Here is a 20,125-nt window from a genome sequence, read left to right as displayed (position 1 = left end):
CTGCTTTCTCTTGTGGGCATTTAGTGCTATAAATTTCCCTCTACACACTGCTTTAAATGTGTCCCAGAGATTCTGGTATGTCATGTCTTTGTTCTCACTGGTTTCAAAGAATATCTTTATTTCTGCCTTCATTTCGTTATGTACCCAGTAGTCATTCAGGAGCAGGTTGTTCTGTTTCCATGCAGTTGAGCAGTTTTGAGTGGGTTTCTTAATCCTGAGTTCTAGTTTGATTGCACTGTGGTCTGAGAGACAGTTTGTTATAATTTCTTTCTTTTACGTTTGCTGAAGAGTGTTTTACTTCCAACTATGTGGACAATTTTGGAATAAGTGTGATGTGGTGCTGAGACGAATGTATATTCTGTTGATTTGGGGTGGAGAGTTCTGTAGACGTCTATTAGGTCTGCTTGATGCAGAGCTGAGTTTAATTCTTGGATATCCTTGTTAACTTTCTGTCTCATTGATCTGTCTAATGTTGACAGTGGGGTGTTAAAGTCTCCCATTATTATTGTGTGGGAATCTAAGTCTCTTTGTAGGTCTCTAAGGACTTGCTTTTTGAATCTGGGTCCGCCTGTATTGGGTGCATATCTATTTAGGATAGTTAGCTCTCCTTGTTGAATTGATCCCTTTACCATTATTTAATGGCCTTCTTTGTCTCTTTTGATCTTTGTTGGTTTAAAGTTTGTTTTATCAGAGACTAGGATTGCAAGCCCTGCCTTTTTTTTGTTTTCCAGTTGCTTGGTAGATCTTCCTCCATCCCTTTATTTTGAGCCTATGTGTGTCTCTGCATGTGAGATGGGTCTCCTGAACACCGCACACTGATGGGTCTTGACTCTTTATCCAATTTGCCAGTCTGTGTCTTTTAATTGGCGCATTTAGCCGATTTACATTTAAGGTTAATATTGTTATGTGTGAATTTGATCCTGTCATTATGATGTTAGCTGGTTATTTTGCTCGTTAGTTGATGCAGTTTCTTCCTAGCCTTGATAGTCTTTACAATTTGGCATGTTTTTGCAGTGGCTGGTACTGATTGTTCCTTTCCATGTTTAGTGCTTCCTTAAGGAGCTCTTTTAGGGCTGGCCTGGTGGTGACAAAATCTCTCAGCATTTGCTTGTCTGTAAAGTATTTTATTTCTCCTTCACTTATGAAGCTTAGTTTGGCTGGATATGAAATTCTGGGTTGAAAATTCTTTTCTCTAAGAATGTTGAATATTGGCCCCCACCCTCTTCTGGCTTGTAGAGTTTCTGCGGAGAGATCCATTGTTAGTCTGATGGGCTTCCCTTTGTGGGTAACCTGACCTTTCTCTCTGGCTGCCCTTAACATTTTTTCCTTCATTTCAACTTTGGTGAATCTGACAATTATGTGTCTTGGAGTTGCTCTTCTCGAGGAGTATCTTTGTGGCATTCTCTGTATTTCCTGAATTCAAATGTTGGCCTGCCTTGCTAGGTTGGGGAAGTTCTCCTGGATAATATCCTGCAGAGTGTTTTCCAACTTGGTTCCATTCTCCCCGTCACTTTCAGGTACACCAATCAGACGTAGATTTGGTCTTTTCCCATAGTCCCATATTCCTTGGAGGCTTTGTTTGTTTGTTTTTACTCTTTGTCTCTAAACTTCTCTTCTCACTTCATTTCATTCATTTGATCTTCAATCACTGATACCCTTTCTTCCAGTTGATCGAATCGGCTACTGAGGCTTGTGCATTTGTCACGTAGTTCTCGTGCCTTGGTTTTCAGCTCCATTAGGTCATTTAAGGACTACTCCACACTGGTTATTCTAGTTAGCCATTGGTCTAATCTTTCTGCAAGGTTTTTAGCTTCTTTGCGATGGGTTTAAACTTCTCCTTTAGCTCAGAGAAGTTTGATCATCTGAGGCCTTCTCTCAACTTGTCAAAGTCATTCTCCATCCAGTTTTGTTCCATTTCTGGTGAGGAGCTGCACTCCTTTGTAGGGGGAGAGGTGCTCTGATTTTTAGAACTTTCGGCTTTTCTGCTCTGTTTTTTCCCCATCTTTGTGGTTTTATCTACCTTTGTCTTTGATCATAGTGACGTACAGATGGGGTTTTGGTGTGGATGTCCTTTCTGTTTTTCAGTTTTCCTTCTAACAGTCAGGACCTTCAGATGCTGGTCTGTTGGAGTTTGCTGGAGTTAACACTCCAGAACCTGTTAGCCTGGGTATCAGCAGCAGAGGCTGCAGAATAGCGAGTATTGCTGAACAGCAAATGTTGCTGCCTGATCGTTCCTCTGGAAGCTTCATCTCTGAGAGGTAACTGGCTGTGTGAGGTATCAGTCTGCCCCCACTTGGAGGTGCCTCCCAGTTAGGCTACTTGGGGGTCAGGGACCCACTTGAGGAGGCAGTCTGTCCATTCTCAGATCTCAAACTCTGTGCTAGGAGAACCACTACTCTCTTCAAAGTTGTCAGACAGGGACATTTAAGTCTGCAGAGTTTTCTGCTGCTTTTTGTTCAGTCTTTTTTTTTTTTTTCTTTTTGAGACAGAGTTTCGCTCTGTCGCCCAGGCTGGAGTGCAATGGTGTGATCTGGGCTCACTGCAAGCTCTGCCTCCCAGGTTCACGCCATTCTCTTTCCTCATCCTCCCCAGTAGCTGGGACTACAGGCACCTGCCACCATGCCTGGCTAATTTTTTTGTATTTTTAGTAGAGACAGGGTTTCACCATGTTAGCCAGGATGGTCTCGATCTCCTGACCCTGTGATCCACCCACCTCAGCCTCCCAAAGTGCTGGGATTACAGTCTTCCATAAGTTTCTTCATGAGTTCATGAAAAGTGCAGGAAGTTGGTCTGTGATGTTTTACTGTGGGAGTGGAGAATCTTATAAGAGTAAGGGTAGCCTATACAGAATAGTTGAAACCTGCATCTGCTAGAGGTTAAATCTTACAAAGGACAGGAATTCTGCCTATTTTATTCACTGCCGTATACCAAATACTCTACATATTGTCTGATATGTAATAGGAACTTAAACTCTTGATGAATTAACAAATTCTAAAATTAATTCTTCTGATCAATTGTTTTAACTTAACACAACTAAGACAATTTTTGCATTTTTCTTAAAAATCCCACAAGTAGATCATTAGCAAATTCAGATGAATTGAAGAAATATAAAACCAAAACAATGAAAATCAGTATCAGCTTTTATCCTGCTAATCCTACCCCTGTTCCCAGAGGCAATAGTTAACATTAGTCTGCTGATCATTTCAATGTATTTACAGACATTCATAAAAACCATAGAAATATAACTTTTTCTCACTCTATGTAAATGGGATCATTTTATATGTACTTTTCTACATCTTGTTTTTTTATCCTTTAACAATACATTTTGAAGATCTTTTCACTGGGGAAAATATAGCTCTAACTCACTTGTTTCAGCTGTTCCATAATCTTCTGTACTAAAAATACATATTAAAATTTATTTAATTATTTGCTGTTAGTGGGCATGTAAGTATTTCCAATTATTTGTCATTGCAAACTGTACTGTTTGTAATGCCCTTGAACACATTTCTTGGTGCATGTGCTAGTATTTCTTTCAGATAGCTACCAAAAATGAAATTGCTGTATTGACAGGTATGCTCATTTAAAATGTTTATGTTTACTATAATATTGGCATCCTAACACACTGTAACAATTTGCATTCTCATCTGTGAGTGTGAGTTCTCCTCACCAACATTGAATATTATCAATCTTTCATATTTTCTTAATTAAAAAATATTAGGTTAGTGTAAAAGTAATTGCTGTATCATTTAATTTGCATTACTTAGCGGTTTGTCAGATTGAACCTCTTTTAAATTAGTTATATACTATTTATATTTATTCTTATATAAAGTGCATCTTTATGTGTTTGGCCCTTTTTGTGACAACTTTGTTGTATTTTTCTTATTAATTTCTGGGTGTTCTTTGTTATATTCTGTATATTCATCTGGTGTCATAGAATTGGCAAATACACCTCCCCATCTCCTGCTTGCTTTTTAACTTTGGTTAACTTTTGACTTACAGAAGTTTCAAATTTTGAAAAGGTATCCTTACTTGACCTCTTAGAGTTGGCCTAGCTTCCTTCTTAAAATACTTCCTACCTTAATTTTCCTTAACACCATACTTTCCTGGTTTTCTTGCTAACTCACCAGCAACTTTTTCCCAGTCTCTTTTAGAGGCTCTTCCCCTCTCTCTGGCCTCAAACTGTTGGAGTTCTTCAGGACTTGGCTCTTGATACTCTTCTCAGACTATGCTCTTACTTTATACATTCACCATCTATAACTTTAAATACAGTCTTCATGCTGTCACCTCACTCTTTGATCAATATCTCCAGGGCATAACACTCCTCTGAGATCCAGAGAGAAGATCCAATTTGCTTCCTTGACAACCCCATATAGGTGTCTCTTGGAAATCTTAAATGAAATGTGATGCAACCAAAACAGAATTCTTAGCTCTATACACTTACCCCCTGTATTGGCCCATTTTGTGTTGCTATAAATGAATACTTGAGGCTGGGTAATTTACAAGGAAAAGAGGTTTATTTGTCTAATGGCTCTACAGGCTGTACGAGCATGGCATCAGCATTGGCTCAGCTTCTGGTGAGGCCTCAGGAAGCTTTTACTCATGGCAGAAGATGAAGGGGGGTTCATACATGTCTCAAGGCAAGAAGGGGAGCAAGAGAGAGAAAGAGAGGAGGGAGATGCTAGACTCTTTTTAACAACCAGATCTCACAATAACTAGTAGAGTGACAATTCGCTTGTTACTGCAAGGAGGGCACCAAGCCATTCATGTGGCCTCCACCCCCATAACCCAGACACCTCACACTAGGCCCAACCTCCAACTCTGGAGATTACACTTCAACATGGGATTTGAAGGGGATGAACATCCAAACTATCTCACCCTCCAACCACAAGTTTTCTGAGTCATCCCTATCTCCATAAATGGAATAATCTTGTATCATGTTACTAAATCAAGACACTTTTTCTGTGGCTCTGAGGGAGAACTAACATATTAGAGGGCAGGCTTAAGGATTTAAAAAGAAACCAATCAGCTGGTATTGAAGAGATGGAGCTAAATAAAAATAACTGTAAAATTCAACCATGGGGGCAAAATATAAATCATAAAAATGTAAGATAAATTTCTAGCTGCATGTATAAAATTTACAATTTTATAGGCATACCTTCATTTTCCTCACCCAAGGCAAACATTTAAAAAGTACTGGACAGGTCACTAGAGACCTCCTTCCATTTTATTAATAATAATGATTATGATTATGAAACCTAACATTATTCCAGAAAAGAATGTTTGTTACTATATTTGAGAGCCCTAAGTCCATCATTTGCATCTAATTTTTATAACTCAAAGAAGTAAGGTATTATGATCATTGTCATTTTAAAGATGAGAAAATTGAGTGTTAGGGTAAGTAACATGCCCAAAGTCACACAAGTAGTAAACAACAAAGCTGGAATTCAGACCCAACTGTTTCTGACTTCAAAACTCAGCCTTGTCCAGCCACTTAGAGTCAGAGTTAAGATTACAACTTTCCATGATCACCTTGACTTTTTGGATAAAGTTGATGAGTCATTTTTTAATCTATCAACTCTACCATTTTGTTCATATTTCTCTAGTTTGCCTACAAACCATGGAAAACATTCCTTCTTCAAATGAAGGCATTTTCATACTCATTTTTTTTAAAGGAAGTAAGTTTAGATCAGATGGACCTATTCTTATTAACCACCTGTTGACTTCTATCTTTGGGTACCCGTTGATTATTCAAACAAAGAATCAATTTAAAAGAAGTTCATCTCAGGATTGGGATCAAACTCTTCTTCCTATGGTTTTCAGAACATACCTTTTTCACATTTCTTCAACTTGGGCATTTGTTCTCTATTTCTGCTGGATAGCAGTGGCCTGTTTACAGCACTATTTCTCATGACATTCATACTGCTTTAGAGTATACAATTCCTTATTTAATTCCTGTTATATCAAGTATTCCTTGAGGGGAGAAACTATGGCTTCCTCTTCTCTAGGAACTGTATAGTCTCTAACATAGTATCTGTATAACAGTAGATGATCAATTGATTGATCATTTTTGCTGATGAAAGGTGTTCCTGATTCTCTTCAGATTTATGAAGGATTAAAATACTCAAAATTGAAAATTAGGTTTTGTTTGTTAAATCTTCCCTGAGATCCTAAAAGGTATAGAGAACTTAGTCTACAAGATTCACATTGAGAAGACCCAGTTCATGACAACACTCTGATATTGTGGGGCCTCCTTCCTTTAAAGTCTTTTTGACAAAATGGAATTTTACTTTTCCAAGTTGAATTAGAAACAGCCAAGCCTGGCCTCAATGGTTTAGAATCATAGGTCTCCCAAGCTTGGTCCTATCCTTATGGCCCTTTTACTTACATGAAATTTTATTATTAAATAAGCAAATGGGTAGCCAATGAAATAAAATATGCTTTTGAAAGACATTCTTAGAGGGTTTTGATTGCTAAAATTGTACTAACTAGTGTACACAGTAGCAGAGATGTCTGCAATTGTGTTTGACTATTTTCTGTTGGACAAGAAGTGTCTTTGGAAATATGCAACCCGTGATCAAAATAGAAGTGAAGACAGCATTTGGTTGAATGATGACACCATTTGTCTAGACATATAGGTTACATAGTCTTCTAAATATAGCTTCTAAACATGAATTATTTTCATATAAATATTTTGAGGGCAATTTTAATTTGTCTGCATGCATGTATTAGAAAGAGGCATAATGCCAGTGTGTGGAATTCTAAGAGGTTCATCAAATGTGCAAACTCAGATTCTCAGTGAATTTGGAGCCAGCCTCTTTGTCCTTGTCTCATCCTTAATCTTGTTCTGCAGCTGTGTTTTCCCCACCCACCAATATCTGTCTTGGTTTTATAGAAATCACTTTTCCCACTCTAGGAAACCCATAGTGCACATAGTGGCAGAGAAGAAAAGAAATAACCTAATGATAAAACATTAGCTGCATTCCCACTAAAGTGAGGAATAAGACAATGATGTCTTATCATCTCTTGTGGTCAACATTGTACATACAAAATCCAAAGAACAGAAAGAAGAAATATAAAAAAACTGGAAAAAGAGAGCAAAGCTTCCATTATTTATTAACCATCTGTATGATCTATTATAATCATCTTCCAGGAAAATCCACTGTAAACTGTGAAAAGTAATAAGATATTTCATAAGGATGGACGATATGAGATAACACTCAATCCTCAGTGACTTTCCTACACATGAGAAAAAACCAATTAGTATGTGAATTAAGAAAAATACTACTGTGCCACTGCACTCCACTCCAGCTTGGGTGACAGAGCCAGACCCTGTCTCAAAATAAAAATAAAAATAAAAATAAAACACCATCCACAGAAGCAATAACTAAAGTTCCTTAAAAAAAATGGTTTTTTTTGAAAAGTATAAGACCTTTATTGAAGGAAACTTTAAAACTTTACTGAAGAAGAGCAGATAAATTGCTAAAGGTTCATTGTGGATAGTAGAAGAGGTGGCTGTAAAACCCAGATTTTCCTTTTGAGGTTATAGGAAGCCCATCAGAACTCCAGGTTTGCAGATTCTGGAACTCAATTTATTAGGTTCTGAAGTTTGATTCACGGGAACTATGTATTGAGCATTTAATGCAGAAGGCAGCATGCAGCAGATATAAACATGAACCACTGAAGCAAGGGATACACTAGCAAGATATTACAGTACGGTGAACATCACTGCAGGTGTACACAAGGTTTATCAGGAGCTGAGGGAATTGCTAACAAATCAACAGTTTCCTTGTCATCACTGGTGATGGGCATCCCATCTCTGCTTGAACTCCTGCAATGAGAGAAGCTTCCCATCTGAGCAGTCTGCTCAAAGTTTGGGCAGCTCTAGAGCTTGAAAGGTTTTCCTGATATTGAGTTGACGTTTCCATCCCTGTGGCTTCTACTCACTAACCCTCGTTCTGCCTTGAGAAAGAGAAAAACAGGTTACATCTTTTACGTTAGGACAGCACTTTAGGCATATTTGGCCATAGGTTCTTTCTGAGGCTTTTGTTTTTCTTAATAAATATCCCAATTTCTTTTAGCGCTCTCTGTGTATATATTATTGTTGGAAATTTGGGGAGTGCAAATATATTCCCTTATTTGCAACTTTTATTTTTATTTTTCTTGATCGTTTTTCCATCAAAGCATGATCTGCAGATCACTCACATTAGAATCATCTGGCAGCTTAGTAAAAACACAGATTCCTGGGTCCCACTCATTGAATCAGTGCAGGGCTTGTAAATGACATTTTTACTAACATGACTGTTATGCATATTAACGGTTTAGAGCCATGGTCCTAGACTTTTGTGGATCAGAATTGTCCAAGGTGTGCTAGCATTGATTGTGATTCAGGGCTTCAAGTTATGACACATATTAGAATTATTAGGTTCTTATAAAATTTTTTTTGAGGCGGAGTCTCACACTGTCACCCAGGCTGGAGTGCAGTGGCGCGATTTCGGCTTACTGCAACCTCCGCCTCCTGAGTTCAAGCGATTCCCTTGCCTCAGCCTCCCAAGTAGCTGGTTACAGGCGCCAGCCACCAAACCCGGCTAATTTTTTGTATTTTTAATAGAGACAGGGTTTCCCCATGTTGGCCAGCCTGGTCTCGAACTCCTGACCTCGTGATTCACCCGCCTCAGCCTCCCAAGGTGCTGGGATTACAGGCTTGAGCCACCGCACCCAGGCCAGAATCTCTTAAAAGATAATAACTTTATCTAACTTAACTGGTAAAATATAATTATCAGAAAATTCCTTTTGGAAGCCTGCTTCAGTTCAGTCATGCTTTAAGCCTCTCTCCCCACTTGGAAGACATGGTATGACTACATAGTCTTGTGACCACAACAAGGTGGCAGGTGGTAGGAACAAGTCATATTAATTTGATTTGAGGTTCTTTGGGGACTTGCTAATGGGGTTCTTTGTCCATTGGACAAATACCAAGGACCTTGCCAGTCTTGCAGCCTGTTGTATCCTCAGAGCCTAGTAAAGTGCCTGGAACATTGTAGGACTTGACAAGAGGATGAAAAAATGCTCTGTCTCTAGTCTACTGGCTTACCCTCTCTTCTGTTTAACTGTCTCCATGATTATTAGTTCAGATAACTGAGGGCAGAAAAGGGACTAGCGGTGCTGACTGTAACCTTAGAGCAGAGAATTTCCCTGTACAAAATCTGCTAAAGATTCCAGTTTTGACTTCTTTGGTAGATAATCCCCATCCTCCTATTTCACTCCTTCATTGTCAAAATAACAAAATAATTGATGTGAATTTGCTTTGCTAACTGCAAAGCTCTGTCCACATGAGAGTGATAATTTTAAGAACAGACTATTTATAAATTAGGCAACACAGCAGAGATTGTATGCAAACTTTAGCTTTGGAGATGGGTTTCCCTGCTCTCTCACCAGGCTTAGATTCTTCCCCAGTTTCCAGGTTCAGATCTTACTCAAACCTAGGACACTTACCCAATTCCTGAGAAGTCTGAGAACTTTTGCAAGCACTTTCCAAAGAACTTATTGCCTATCTAACTTGGTTCTTGGCTATCATCCTCCATCATCCACTGTTAATCCCTGTGATAAACAGGCTGTCCATTGACTTGAGATCTCTAGATCTGTGTTGTCCAATAGGGTAACCACTAGCCACACATGACTATTTAAATTTTAATTTAACCAAAATGAAACACAACTAAAAACTCAGTTTTTTAATCACACTAGTTATATTCCAAGTGTTCATTAGCCACATGTGGTGAGTGGCTCTTGGCTTAGATATAAATGTAGAAAATTCTCATGATTGTAAAAAGTTTGTTTGACCAAGCATCTCCAGAGCTATATGTGCCTTCTCTCTGGAAGGAGGCAATACAACTTTCTCTCAGACTCACTAACTCTTGTTATCAGCAACGCTCAAAAACTAATCAACCAATTCTATTGGATGTGCTATACAAATCTTTAACATTTCCATGTACGACATTAGTGTATTCAGATTTCTATATGAAATCAATAGCGGAGAAAATGTAAACATAGAAAAAAAGTGAAAATGAGTAAGAGGCAAAGAGAATGAGTGAGAGGCAAAACACAGCAGAAGAAAAAATAATCCGGGTTACAGCCCCTTGTTATTTCCTTTATAAATAACAACTATGATAACTTACCATATATTTTTTGTTGTTGTTAACTTGTTTATTATCTGTCTGTCCAGCCAGACTGCCAGTCTATGAGGGCAGGTACCATGTCAATTTTATTCCCTAAAATTTCCCCATGGTGCAGAAATTGCTCAATTAATATATTTGTTAAATAAACACATGTTCTTATACTTCACTGTTCATCTGGACTGTGCATGCCAGAATAAGCTTCCACCACTTTAAAAAATATGTATTAATTCCACAGCTGAAACAGTTGTTTGTTCACAGTGAAACCACTTGTTAAATTTTGACTTCAGCACATCAGAATTCCCCTTTTAAATAAAGGTTTTCACACTGTGAATTGGAAGATTTTTACCCATGGATGAGGAAATGATTTAGAGTTGACTTACTTTGGATCCTCAGAGGTTTCTGCTAATGTCGGAAAGTTGTTTGACATTTAAAAGCCATCTTATGGCCTTTACCTTGAACTTTAGAGGTTACAATTGTATTCAACGTTTACCTCATTGTTTTGAGCCAAAACAGACTTAATCTGGGTAAATCAAAGATGAATGAGGATGACCTTCCTTTGTCTCCATTAACCCCTACCAGGGCAGACTACATAATTTGCTGGCCAAATGCAAAATAAAAATACAAGCAACTTGTTCGAATGGCAGGAAAAAGTGTTCTTAAAGGTATTAAAATTTAAAGCCTTTCTTTTTTTTTCATTCACTCCCTCCCAACTTGTCTTGGTGTTTTTTTACTTGCTAATTACCTTTGTTTTAGTTAAGAAATTTTTAAAATTATTAGCACCAATTTATCATTCATCATTGATACATGAATAAATTTATCATTCATTTATCGTTGATACATGAATCAATTTATCATTCACTTTTACATTGTGCAATGCCAACTTCGAATGTAAATAAAAGAGCATTTAACTTGTATGTGGAATTATCAAAATTATACAGATCATGGTAGGTAGTTCATACACACTTAAGTATTTTGTTTTTACCAGAGTAGTGCAGAAAACTAACTCAACTGCTTTTATTTCACTTTTTGATACATACACATTCTACTAATATTCACAAATTCAAGAATAAAGTTATTAAGAATTTCAAGATGGCAACAGCAGAGCATTAAACCTAGGTCTGGATTCCTGTATATGCACTGGTCACATACCCACAAAGCCGGCCTTGGTCCCCATCACAACGTGAAGTAATCTTTCAGAAAACACTGTTCTTGTTGAGATCACACCAGGAAAATAGCAAGAATAAAAACTTTAAAAGAACACCAATGGTCTCATCAAATACTCAGGATTAGAAAAGTTAGTGCTTTTTGCAAAATGTACCTGCTTTTCAGAAATGTGTTAATCGGGTGGCCTAAGCTTCTTTCCAGGATGCCCACTTCTAGGCTAATGTGTTGAGGCTGAAACATTATCCCTTCCATTGAGACTTACTGTTCAGGAAAAGTTCCAGCTTCTGGCTTGGTGGAAGGCGACCACTGGTATGTAATCAAAGGGCCATCCCACCCAGCACAGTGCCATGGCTGCAGGTGCTGGAATCTGGCCCACCTGGGTTTCAGTCCTGTCTGAGATCTACCATTTAGTGTCAATATGACCTTAAGTGTTTGACCAAACATCTCCAAGCTTTTTTCTTCATCTGTAAAATGGACATAATATTAGAACCCATTTCATGGGGCTTTTGTTAAGGTTAAATTGATAACATCCGTTCAGGGATATGCCAGTTCCTATTACACAGAAAGCACTCAATCAATGGAAACTGCTACATTGTTATCATAAGTATTTGCATAGCATCATTCATATCTTGGTAAAACATCTTCCTCCAGGTCTCCAGTTATTTTCTCAGCTTCCTGATAAGAATTTCTTAAGAAATGAGTCAATAGAAATCTCCATGTTCTAAACACTTCTCCTGAAACAAGGGATGCAGGGCTCCTCTACTAGAAGAAAAGCCAGAAATAAATTAATCACACTGTTTATAAACAATTGTTTAAGCAACATGAGACAAGACTTGTTTCCTGGGTACATCATACCCTGTGCTGAACAGTTGGGGCTGTTATTTTGAATATGCCTTCTGGATTTTAAATTACCTGTAGGCATTTCTTTGACCCAACATAAAATATACTAGCCATGTCAAACAAGTTGAGCACATTCCGTGTGTGTTTGTTTTCCCCCTTTTGCTCCGTAGGTGCACCCACTGTCAGGGTGTCGAGGTTCTGTGTACCAGCCCTCAGAGATCAGCGCTCGCAGTAAAAAGGGATTATGCATGCCACCCTGCAGGGCAAGCCCCCAAACAACACTCAGCTCCAGAAATGCCCAACGTGGTTTATTTGAGGTCAAAGATAGAGGCAGTGTGATGTGGTGCCCTGGCCTTCAACCCTGGCTGCACATTACAGCCACCTGGGGCCTCTTAAGCAATACCTGAGCCTGAGCTCTGCTTGTAGAGATTCCATTTTAATTGGGTCTGGTTGGGAAGCAGAAATCCATTTATTTTAGGAGCTTGAGTGCGCAGCAGGGTTAACAACCGCTGGTGTCCTGGAAAGAGCAGGAGGCCTGTCTTCTAATCCCTTAGTGATCATCAGGAAGTCATTACCTCTCCCAACACCAATAAAATGAGGAAGTTGAATTAGATAATGCTTTAAGTTTAGATCTAGCTGCATGTCTTAGATCACTGAGATTGTGTGGGTTTAAACCAGTAGTTCTTTATCAGGAATGATCTTGTTTACCAGAGAACATTTGGCAATATCTGGTGGCATTTTTGGTTGTCACAACGTGGGAATACTATTGGTATATAGTGGGTGGAGGCCAGGGACGCTGCTAATCATCCGACAATGCATGGAACACCCCAGAGCAAAGAATTTCCTGGCCCCAGATTTCCAGATAGTGCCGAGGTTAAGAAACCCTGCTTCAAACTAGTCCTCTGAGCTTTACAACAGAGAACTTCCTTGCCACTGCCAAGGACAGCAGGAGAGGTCTTTCAACAGTACCAGGAGGTTCAGCCCCTGCACCATTTGGCTCCTTTTAATCCTCATACATTCTTAAGGCAAGACCAAAAAAAAAAAAATATATAGCGCCGTAGAAGGCGACTGATACGGTTTCTAGGAGGAAGGGTCCTGAACTTCTGTGGTTAGAGTACCGGCAGTAACCTTGCAGATAAGCCCTTTCCACTAGGCAGGCTCTAGGAGCTTGTTCTCTTACAGCATGTACTTGGCGAGGACACAGACCTTCCAATTTAGTCAGAGCAGCTGTTCAGGAAGAAATCTCCTCCAAAGCACACTGAGATACCCATTGGAAAACCATATTCCCATGTAAATGTGTGTTTAGTCCATGGTGCAATGTGCAGGTACCTGGTCCATGGAAATGATAAAAGCTTCATCTTATACCGGGAATTGACAAGCCGGAGTATGTTCAGAAGAGGGTAAATGCCATGATTTTCTCTACAGAATTTATGACATATAAATAACAGTAGAAGGAACTGGGGATGCTGAGCTTAGAGCAAAGAGGTTTTAGGTCATAATTATTGTTTTTATATATTTAAAGGGCTGTTAGAGGAAACAGGAATTCGACTTCTTCTGCATAATGTGAGGGAGAGAGGTAAGAAACAAAGGATTGAGGTTATAAGAACATGTATTTCAGCACAAAATGGAATGGATTGCCTTACTAGGGAGTTCCTAGTAAAGTTGAAGGAGACAATTGGATGACCATCAGTCAATTAAAAGTGTTGATTGACCGAATATCAGTAACTGGAAGAACTGAATGTTCATTAGTCAACATTTCTGGGGAAGAGGTGAGTAGATTGAATAACACGTTCTCAGCCCCTTTTTTTGTGATTCTGTGAGTTACAAAATCATAAGCATCGTCCCACAGTGCAGTTAAGTGTAGGGGACAGCAAACTCTATTTCAGCCAGTGTAACATTTTGTTTGGTTGAAGCTGGAGAATTTCTGGAAATATTACTAATGAGAAGACATATGTCAGAAATGATACTGTCAATTTTAGGGGGCCATTCTGCTTTCCTTTACTGAATCTTTGGCAATCTGGGGTTGGTAGAAAATGTAGACATTTCCAAAGGAGAAATATCTCCATAGATGCTTAGTGGTAAACAGCTAATTTGATGCCTGAGATTGCATTTGGAAAAAATATTGGATATATTTACTGATCAGGATATATATACATATATATATGTATATATATACACACACACATACATATATATGTATATGTATATTATATATTATATATATACATGTATATGTATATATACATTTGCATGACTTTCCAAAAGGGTGAGTTCTAGAATTGAACTGAAAGGCTATTCACACATTTTGGTGATTTTAGGATGCTCTTTCCTTGACAGAGTTGCAAATTATAAATTATTTTCTCTGCCTCTGGTTTTCTTTTGGGACTATGTATATAATATAGCCATAAAGGGAGAAGCTGCTTCGTGTTTATCACTCAGGAAGATGGAAAGGCCATTCAGACATGTGGGATTTTAAACTGCAAATGCCAGCTGGATTGGGTTGTAATAGGATAACCTTGAGCAGTACAGTAGGACTTGCAGTGGGCAGAGAGGGAAGGGTATATGAAACCCTTCTTGGCCTGATCCAATCTGGTGTTCCAGCTCATTTCCCTCAACTCTCCCCGCTGCAGCCCAGCTCCCCTGACCTAACTCTTCGTGCAATAAACATACAAGATTGGTCAGCTTTTCCCAAACAAATAGCGAATTATATTGTCTCTGGATCATCTCTGCTGCCTTGAATGCTGTCTCACTTTCCAGCCTGGCACAAGACTACTCATTCTTCTAGGCACAGTTCCAATAGGAGTTCTCTAAACTTTCCTGCCCCACTTTCTCCTCAGTCTCTGGGCTATCTTACCACCCACTTGCCCTTCTTTAGGAAGCTCAGCTTATCCCTCAGTATCTTAAGTATTCTTTATGTACCTGACTCACTGTCACTCCTATGGGCAGCTTCTCAAGAGCACTGTTTAGGGGTTGAGAATGCCTGTTCCATGAAGGTGCAAATTTAGTGATGTTGTTTCAATCAGGCTCTGAGTTCAGATCCTGACCCCACCACTCTCTAGATACTCTACCTGGGGAAAGTTACTAGGATTCATTCCACTCAGCCAGAGCCTGCAAATAATAAAACCCATGTGATAGGATTATTGTGAAGTTTATATGAAATAATCCATGAATTTCTTAGCACAGTAGTTGACACATAATAAACATTCAGTAAATATTGGCTGTGTTTAAAACGTACTTTTAAGGTATTTTCTCCTAGATATTTTAGGTCCTTTTATATTGGAATACTATAGAAAAAGCAGGTAGATAGTCTGACTCCCAAAGATTCAGAGTTTCAATCCTTTTATTTGCCATTTAGGAACTGTGGTAAACAATGGAAAAAAGTCATGAAAGGATATTGATTTGACCTCTTAGTTCTATGCACATATTGGGAAATAGGGAAAGAAGTACATAGGGATTAGAATCAGCCACACCTGATTTGATCTCGCACTTTGGTGTATTGAAACATGGACATATCTGAGACTGGTGATGAGATTAAAGGGCCCTTGGGAATACATTTTGTCCAGAGGCCACAATGTTAACATCCCAAACTATGAAAGCTCAGCTTTCTGCAAGCTTCAAAAGACAGTAGAAAGAAAGATCCTAGATGTCATGCCCTGCAGATGCATTGCTTTATGTCCTTGCCAAGACACTATGCTTTCTGCAATTTAGTTTTCTCATCTGTCTGATAGGGGCTTTTGTAACTTGCATGCTACTTTCATGATTTTTTTTTATCATATCACCACTCTACCCATGCCATGCTATTATTTATTTACTATTTTTCTTTAAATACGTTTTAAATCTAAATAAACATATTTGTAAAGGAAACTCTGTATTGTGACCTTAAATGCAAAACTATATAGAGAAGATGATTTTTAATACAAATGCAATGAAAGTAAAACAAAGTTATTAAAATTTAGCTTTATCCTGTTTTTTTGCCAAAGGCTTTGAGCCTGACGCCTGCACTGTGTTTGTTAGGTATTAGAGACTTGTTAAACCAGAGCAGGACCACACTGAGTCAGAATGACTGAATGAATAATTTGAATCCCCTTGCTGTCATTCAGATTATTTAATGCTGTGCCCATTCTCTGAGATGTCACTCACAGAACACATCCTATGTTTGGGAAACACTTGATCTTCTAGCCTTAGTAGAATTCTGGTTGATAGTGTATCTACAGACAATTTAAGAAATGGACTTTTAATAAGCAAACTTGCTGATAACTTATTACAAATCTATGTGCCTCACGGTTTATAGACAACTCGGTTTTTATCAGCTAACAATACCCAAGAATTCTATTTCTCATCACATGAAAAGCACCTAAAAAAACATTGCTCTGTGCATCTCTTTACATTTTTTGCTTTCTCATTTTCATAATCACCAAGTCTTTTCTCATCTGTTTATCTTCAATGTGATGACAACCAATAAATACTTCCTTGTCCACTTTGCTGAAATGTATGTTTTATTTTATTGTTTCCATTCCTTTCCCTTTGGGAGCAGGGACTTCTATCTCTGGCCCCTCTGACCTGCCTGTGATTTCTCTCTACTGCCTATCTCTAAGCTCGCTCTCTCTACTGTCTCTATCTCTAAGCTCGCTCTCTCTACTGTCTCTATCTCTAAGCTCGCTCTCTCTACTGTCTCTATCTCTAAGCTCGCTCTCTGGTATGAATAGAATGGCTGGAGGGAAATCTCATACACCTGTGTGCGTAAGAATCAGCTGAGAGCAGTTTTTTAAAATGCAGATTGCTGCTCTCTCTGGCTCACTCCTGCCCTCCTACCCTCGCTGTCAAAGGTCTGGTATGGATCCTGGGAATCTGTATTTTATAAAAGTACCCAATATAGTTCTCATGCACATAGCCTCTGGACCTTTGAGAAAGATGACTTAGCAAGTGATTCTCCTCCTCCTCCTCCTCCTCCTTTTCTTCTTCCTCCTCTTCTCCTTCTTCCTCCTCCTATTCTTTCTTCCACAGAACAAGTAATTGTAAGTCTGTTTCATTAACTGCTAATAACTTTGTTATAAAACTTCCCACCACATAAATGATTTCCATGTTTCCAAATGGGCAGAATTCTTGATTTGGAGGGCAGAATACCCAAGTTATAGCACTAGATCCACCATTACCCATCGATCAATCCATGCCTCTACATTACACTTTCCTCTTCCTCTAACATGGAAACAAGACTCTGTACCTTCTTGCCTTACAGATTTGCATTGAAGATTAAATGTGAAAAAAAGATATGACAATGCTTTGTAAATTGTCAGGGATTTTACCAAAATGATTACAACAAGAAACTGCATTTTAAAAACTCATCCGTTAAAATATTGGAGAAAGATTCTTTTTAAATGATGTTTTGCATCAGGGATTTTGAGTGGCTCTGCCAATGTTTTTGATCAAACATATGTTTGAGGAGAGACAGTTGTGATCTCGCTGCATTTTAAGTTGTGGCATCTCAGCCCCACCCTATCCTATCCTACCCAAATACGTTTAACAGCTTTGCAATGTAATTTCACAGATTCCGAAATTGAGGTCTTTCAGATTCTTTAATACAAATCCAAAATTACCCTCCCTGTGTTTCCAGCGAAACCTCTTCCCTCCACATGGAATATAAAGTATCAGATACTAACAATAGAATATTAAAAGCCAGATTTGAAGCAATTACCCACAGCTTTGGAGAACAGTCCCACACACAGCTGGTGCCCAATCAGAAGGCCTGTCTCTGTCACCCACCATCCCTGCTACTCATAGAATCAGAATGTCAGAGCTGCAAATGATCTTACAGATTATCCTCCCCTTCATTTAACAAATGGGAAAAGTGAGGCACAGGAAAGGGACAAAGTCATCCAGTCACTCAACTGGAGGCTCCAAAGGCATTAGAACCCAGGTCCCTGTCTTCTGGTTGCTACACTCTGCTGCTTTCTTCTCTGAATTAGTAAGGTGACCTTCTAGCTGGGAGTGAAAGGGGCTTCCTGAGTGTTAAAGCCATGTGCACTGAGGATGATCTTATTGCACAGGAAGGAGGTCTCTTATGGTGCAGTATAATGTACCACATTTTTTTTTATCATGCATGAAGGCCTAAAAGGCAGATGACACTAAACTGCTAACTGTGAACAATTATGTAAATATAACAATGAGAACTGCGGCTATGAGCCAACTGACCATAAGATCACTCTGTCATTATTCTCACATTCCCATTCGTCCTGCTGAGAGAGAGACGTTGTGAGTCCTTCATGGAGTTAGATGCTGGGCCATTGTCCTTTCTCCATGGCCAGAGCTATATTGATGTAACCTGGCATTAGACATCAAATAGCAATACTAGAGTATTTTCAATCTTTATTTAAATCTCTAAAAGAATTGTACAAGAGAGCCAATATATTGAAGCTGAGTTTGCCAATGTCAAAGATAGATAGAGAGGGAGAGAAAGAGAGAGCCAATGTAGCCCTTCGGAAACATTTCTCAAAGAACCTCTTCCTCTCTCCAATTGCTCTGGAGCCTTCCACATGCCCAACCACATGGCTTTCTTTAGCTCTGATCTTTTCGCCTTGTCTTTTATCCTCACCCCTCATTCTTTATTATGTTTATTCATGTGGCCCCTCTCTTTGTCTTCCGGACTTTCCTCCTACCTTCACAGGATTTTTTCCCCCTTTACACCTAGTCTCCCTAGTTCTACGTCACAGAAAACATGGGGTTCCACTTGGCAATGACTCTTCTTTAATGGTCAGATGGAGTTAGCAGGAAAGAGTCTCATGTTAGTGTCACAGTCATATTGTGTTGCAATAAATGGAAATGCCACATCACACTGCAGGTTTCTCACAGGTGGAACATTTATAACATGCACCCCTCTACATATTCATTTCACCCAGGAGTCTGCCATAGTGGGACAAAGAAATGCTAGAGACAGCGAGACCTAAATACTGTATCCATAGTGGTAGTTGTCAAAATGATGAATGACAATACAGTAGAACAGTTACTAGCACAGGTGCTGGTGTCAAAAATGACTTAAATGTAAGGTCTGACCCTGTCATTTATTAACTGTGTATACTTGGGCAAATTACTTATGCTCCCTGAAGCTCAGTTTCCTTGCCTGTTAAATGGGTGTAATACATGAATTAAGGCACATACTGCATTCAGCCCAATGCCTGGCACACCAGTGCTGCACTAATAGGTGGTTGTTTTTATCGTTGCTAATAATGACAATAATAACAAATATGATACAAAGGGGATTTGGCCAATGAGAGATGAGAAATTCTTATTTTCTTTCTTCCCTCTCTCCCTCTTTCCCTTCCTTCTTTCCTTCCTTTCCTTCTTCCTTCCTTCCTCCTTCCCTTTCTTCCTTCTCTCCTTCCTTCCTTTTTAACCTTCATTCCTTCTTTTTCATTCATTGTTTTTTCTCTAAATAGATATATTCAATGAATCAGACAGATAAAAATGTAAGGGAGTATGTAAAGGCCTGAGGGCACATCTTGAGTTATCTAGAGAGTTTACACTTTAAAATGGCATGTGGAAAATCTGGAGGAAGGAACATATAACCAAGGATGAATCAAGGATGAACAAAAGCTATGTTCAGAGCTATGTTCAGATCTAACCCAGAAATAGTTAGATTTCATTATTTAGGGAAGAAATCTTGCATATTCTGCTATAATAAGAATAGACTTCCAACTGGAAAGAAGAGAACATTTTAGGGAGAAAGTTGCTGTCCAGGATTGATGGAAAGCATTTAACTCTCTCTGAGCCAAGATGTGTCATATCTCAGGGGCTTAAAAAAAACTTGTTGCTAACAAGTCCGAATGAACTTCTTCTAGGACTGGGGAATAGGTGGAAGCCTGGAGATAGTAAATATTGCCCCAATTTTTCAAGAAACACTAAAGCTAATCTCCAGAAACCATAGACTCATAGCTTGTGTAAGTAAGATTCACTGTTGT

The 20,125-nt window shown here is 38.8% G+C and overlaps 1 protein-coding gene and 1 long non-coding RNA gene across 8 annotated transcripts in view; one reads left to right on the top strand and one right to left on the bottom strand.

Annotated features, from left to right (window-relative positions):
- The window catches only part of HTR4 (5-hydroxytryptamine receptor 4), a 203,496-nt gene that overhangs the window by 149,986 nt on the left and 33,385 nt on the right, over positions 1-20,125 (top strand). The window contains exon 7 of one of the 7 annotated variants that reach the window (NR_104445.2): positions 13,696-13,942. The exons of the other annotated variants lie outside the window; for them this stretch is intronic. The gene's annotated coding sequence lies outside the window, so the exon portion shown is untranslated. The remainder of the gene's footprint in view (positions 1-13,695; positions 13,943-20,125) is intronic. 7 annotated transcript variants of the gene reach the window in all.
- Positions 1-20,125, bottom strand: part of LOC107986462 (uncharacterized) — a 107,158-nt gene that overhangs the window by 55,446 nt on the left and 31,587 nt on the right. The gene's annotated exons all lie outside the window — the stretch shown is intronic.

The sequence above is a fragment of the Homo sapiens genome, chromosome 5 (assembly GCF_000001405.40).
Source record: "Homo sapiens chromosome 5, GRCh38.p14 Primary Assembly".
In the NCBI taxonomy this organism is placed as follows: domain Eukaryota; kingdom Metazoa; phylum Chordata; class Mammalia; order Primates; family Hominidae; genus Homo; species Homo sapiens.
The sequence above is the reverse complement of the archived record's forward strand: the minus strand, read 5'-3'. Positions and strand labels throughout refer to the sequence as shown.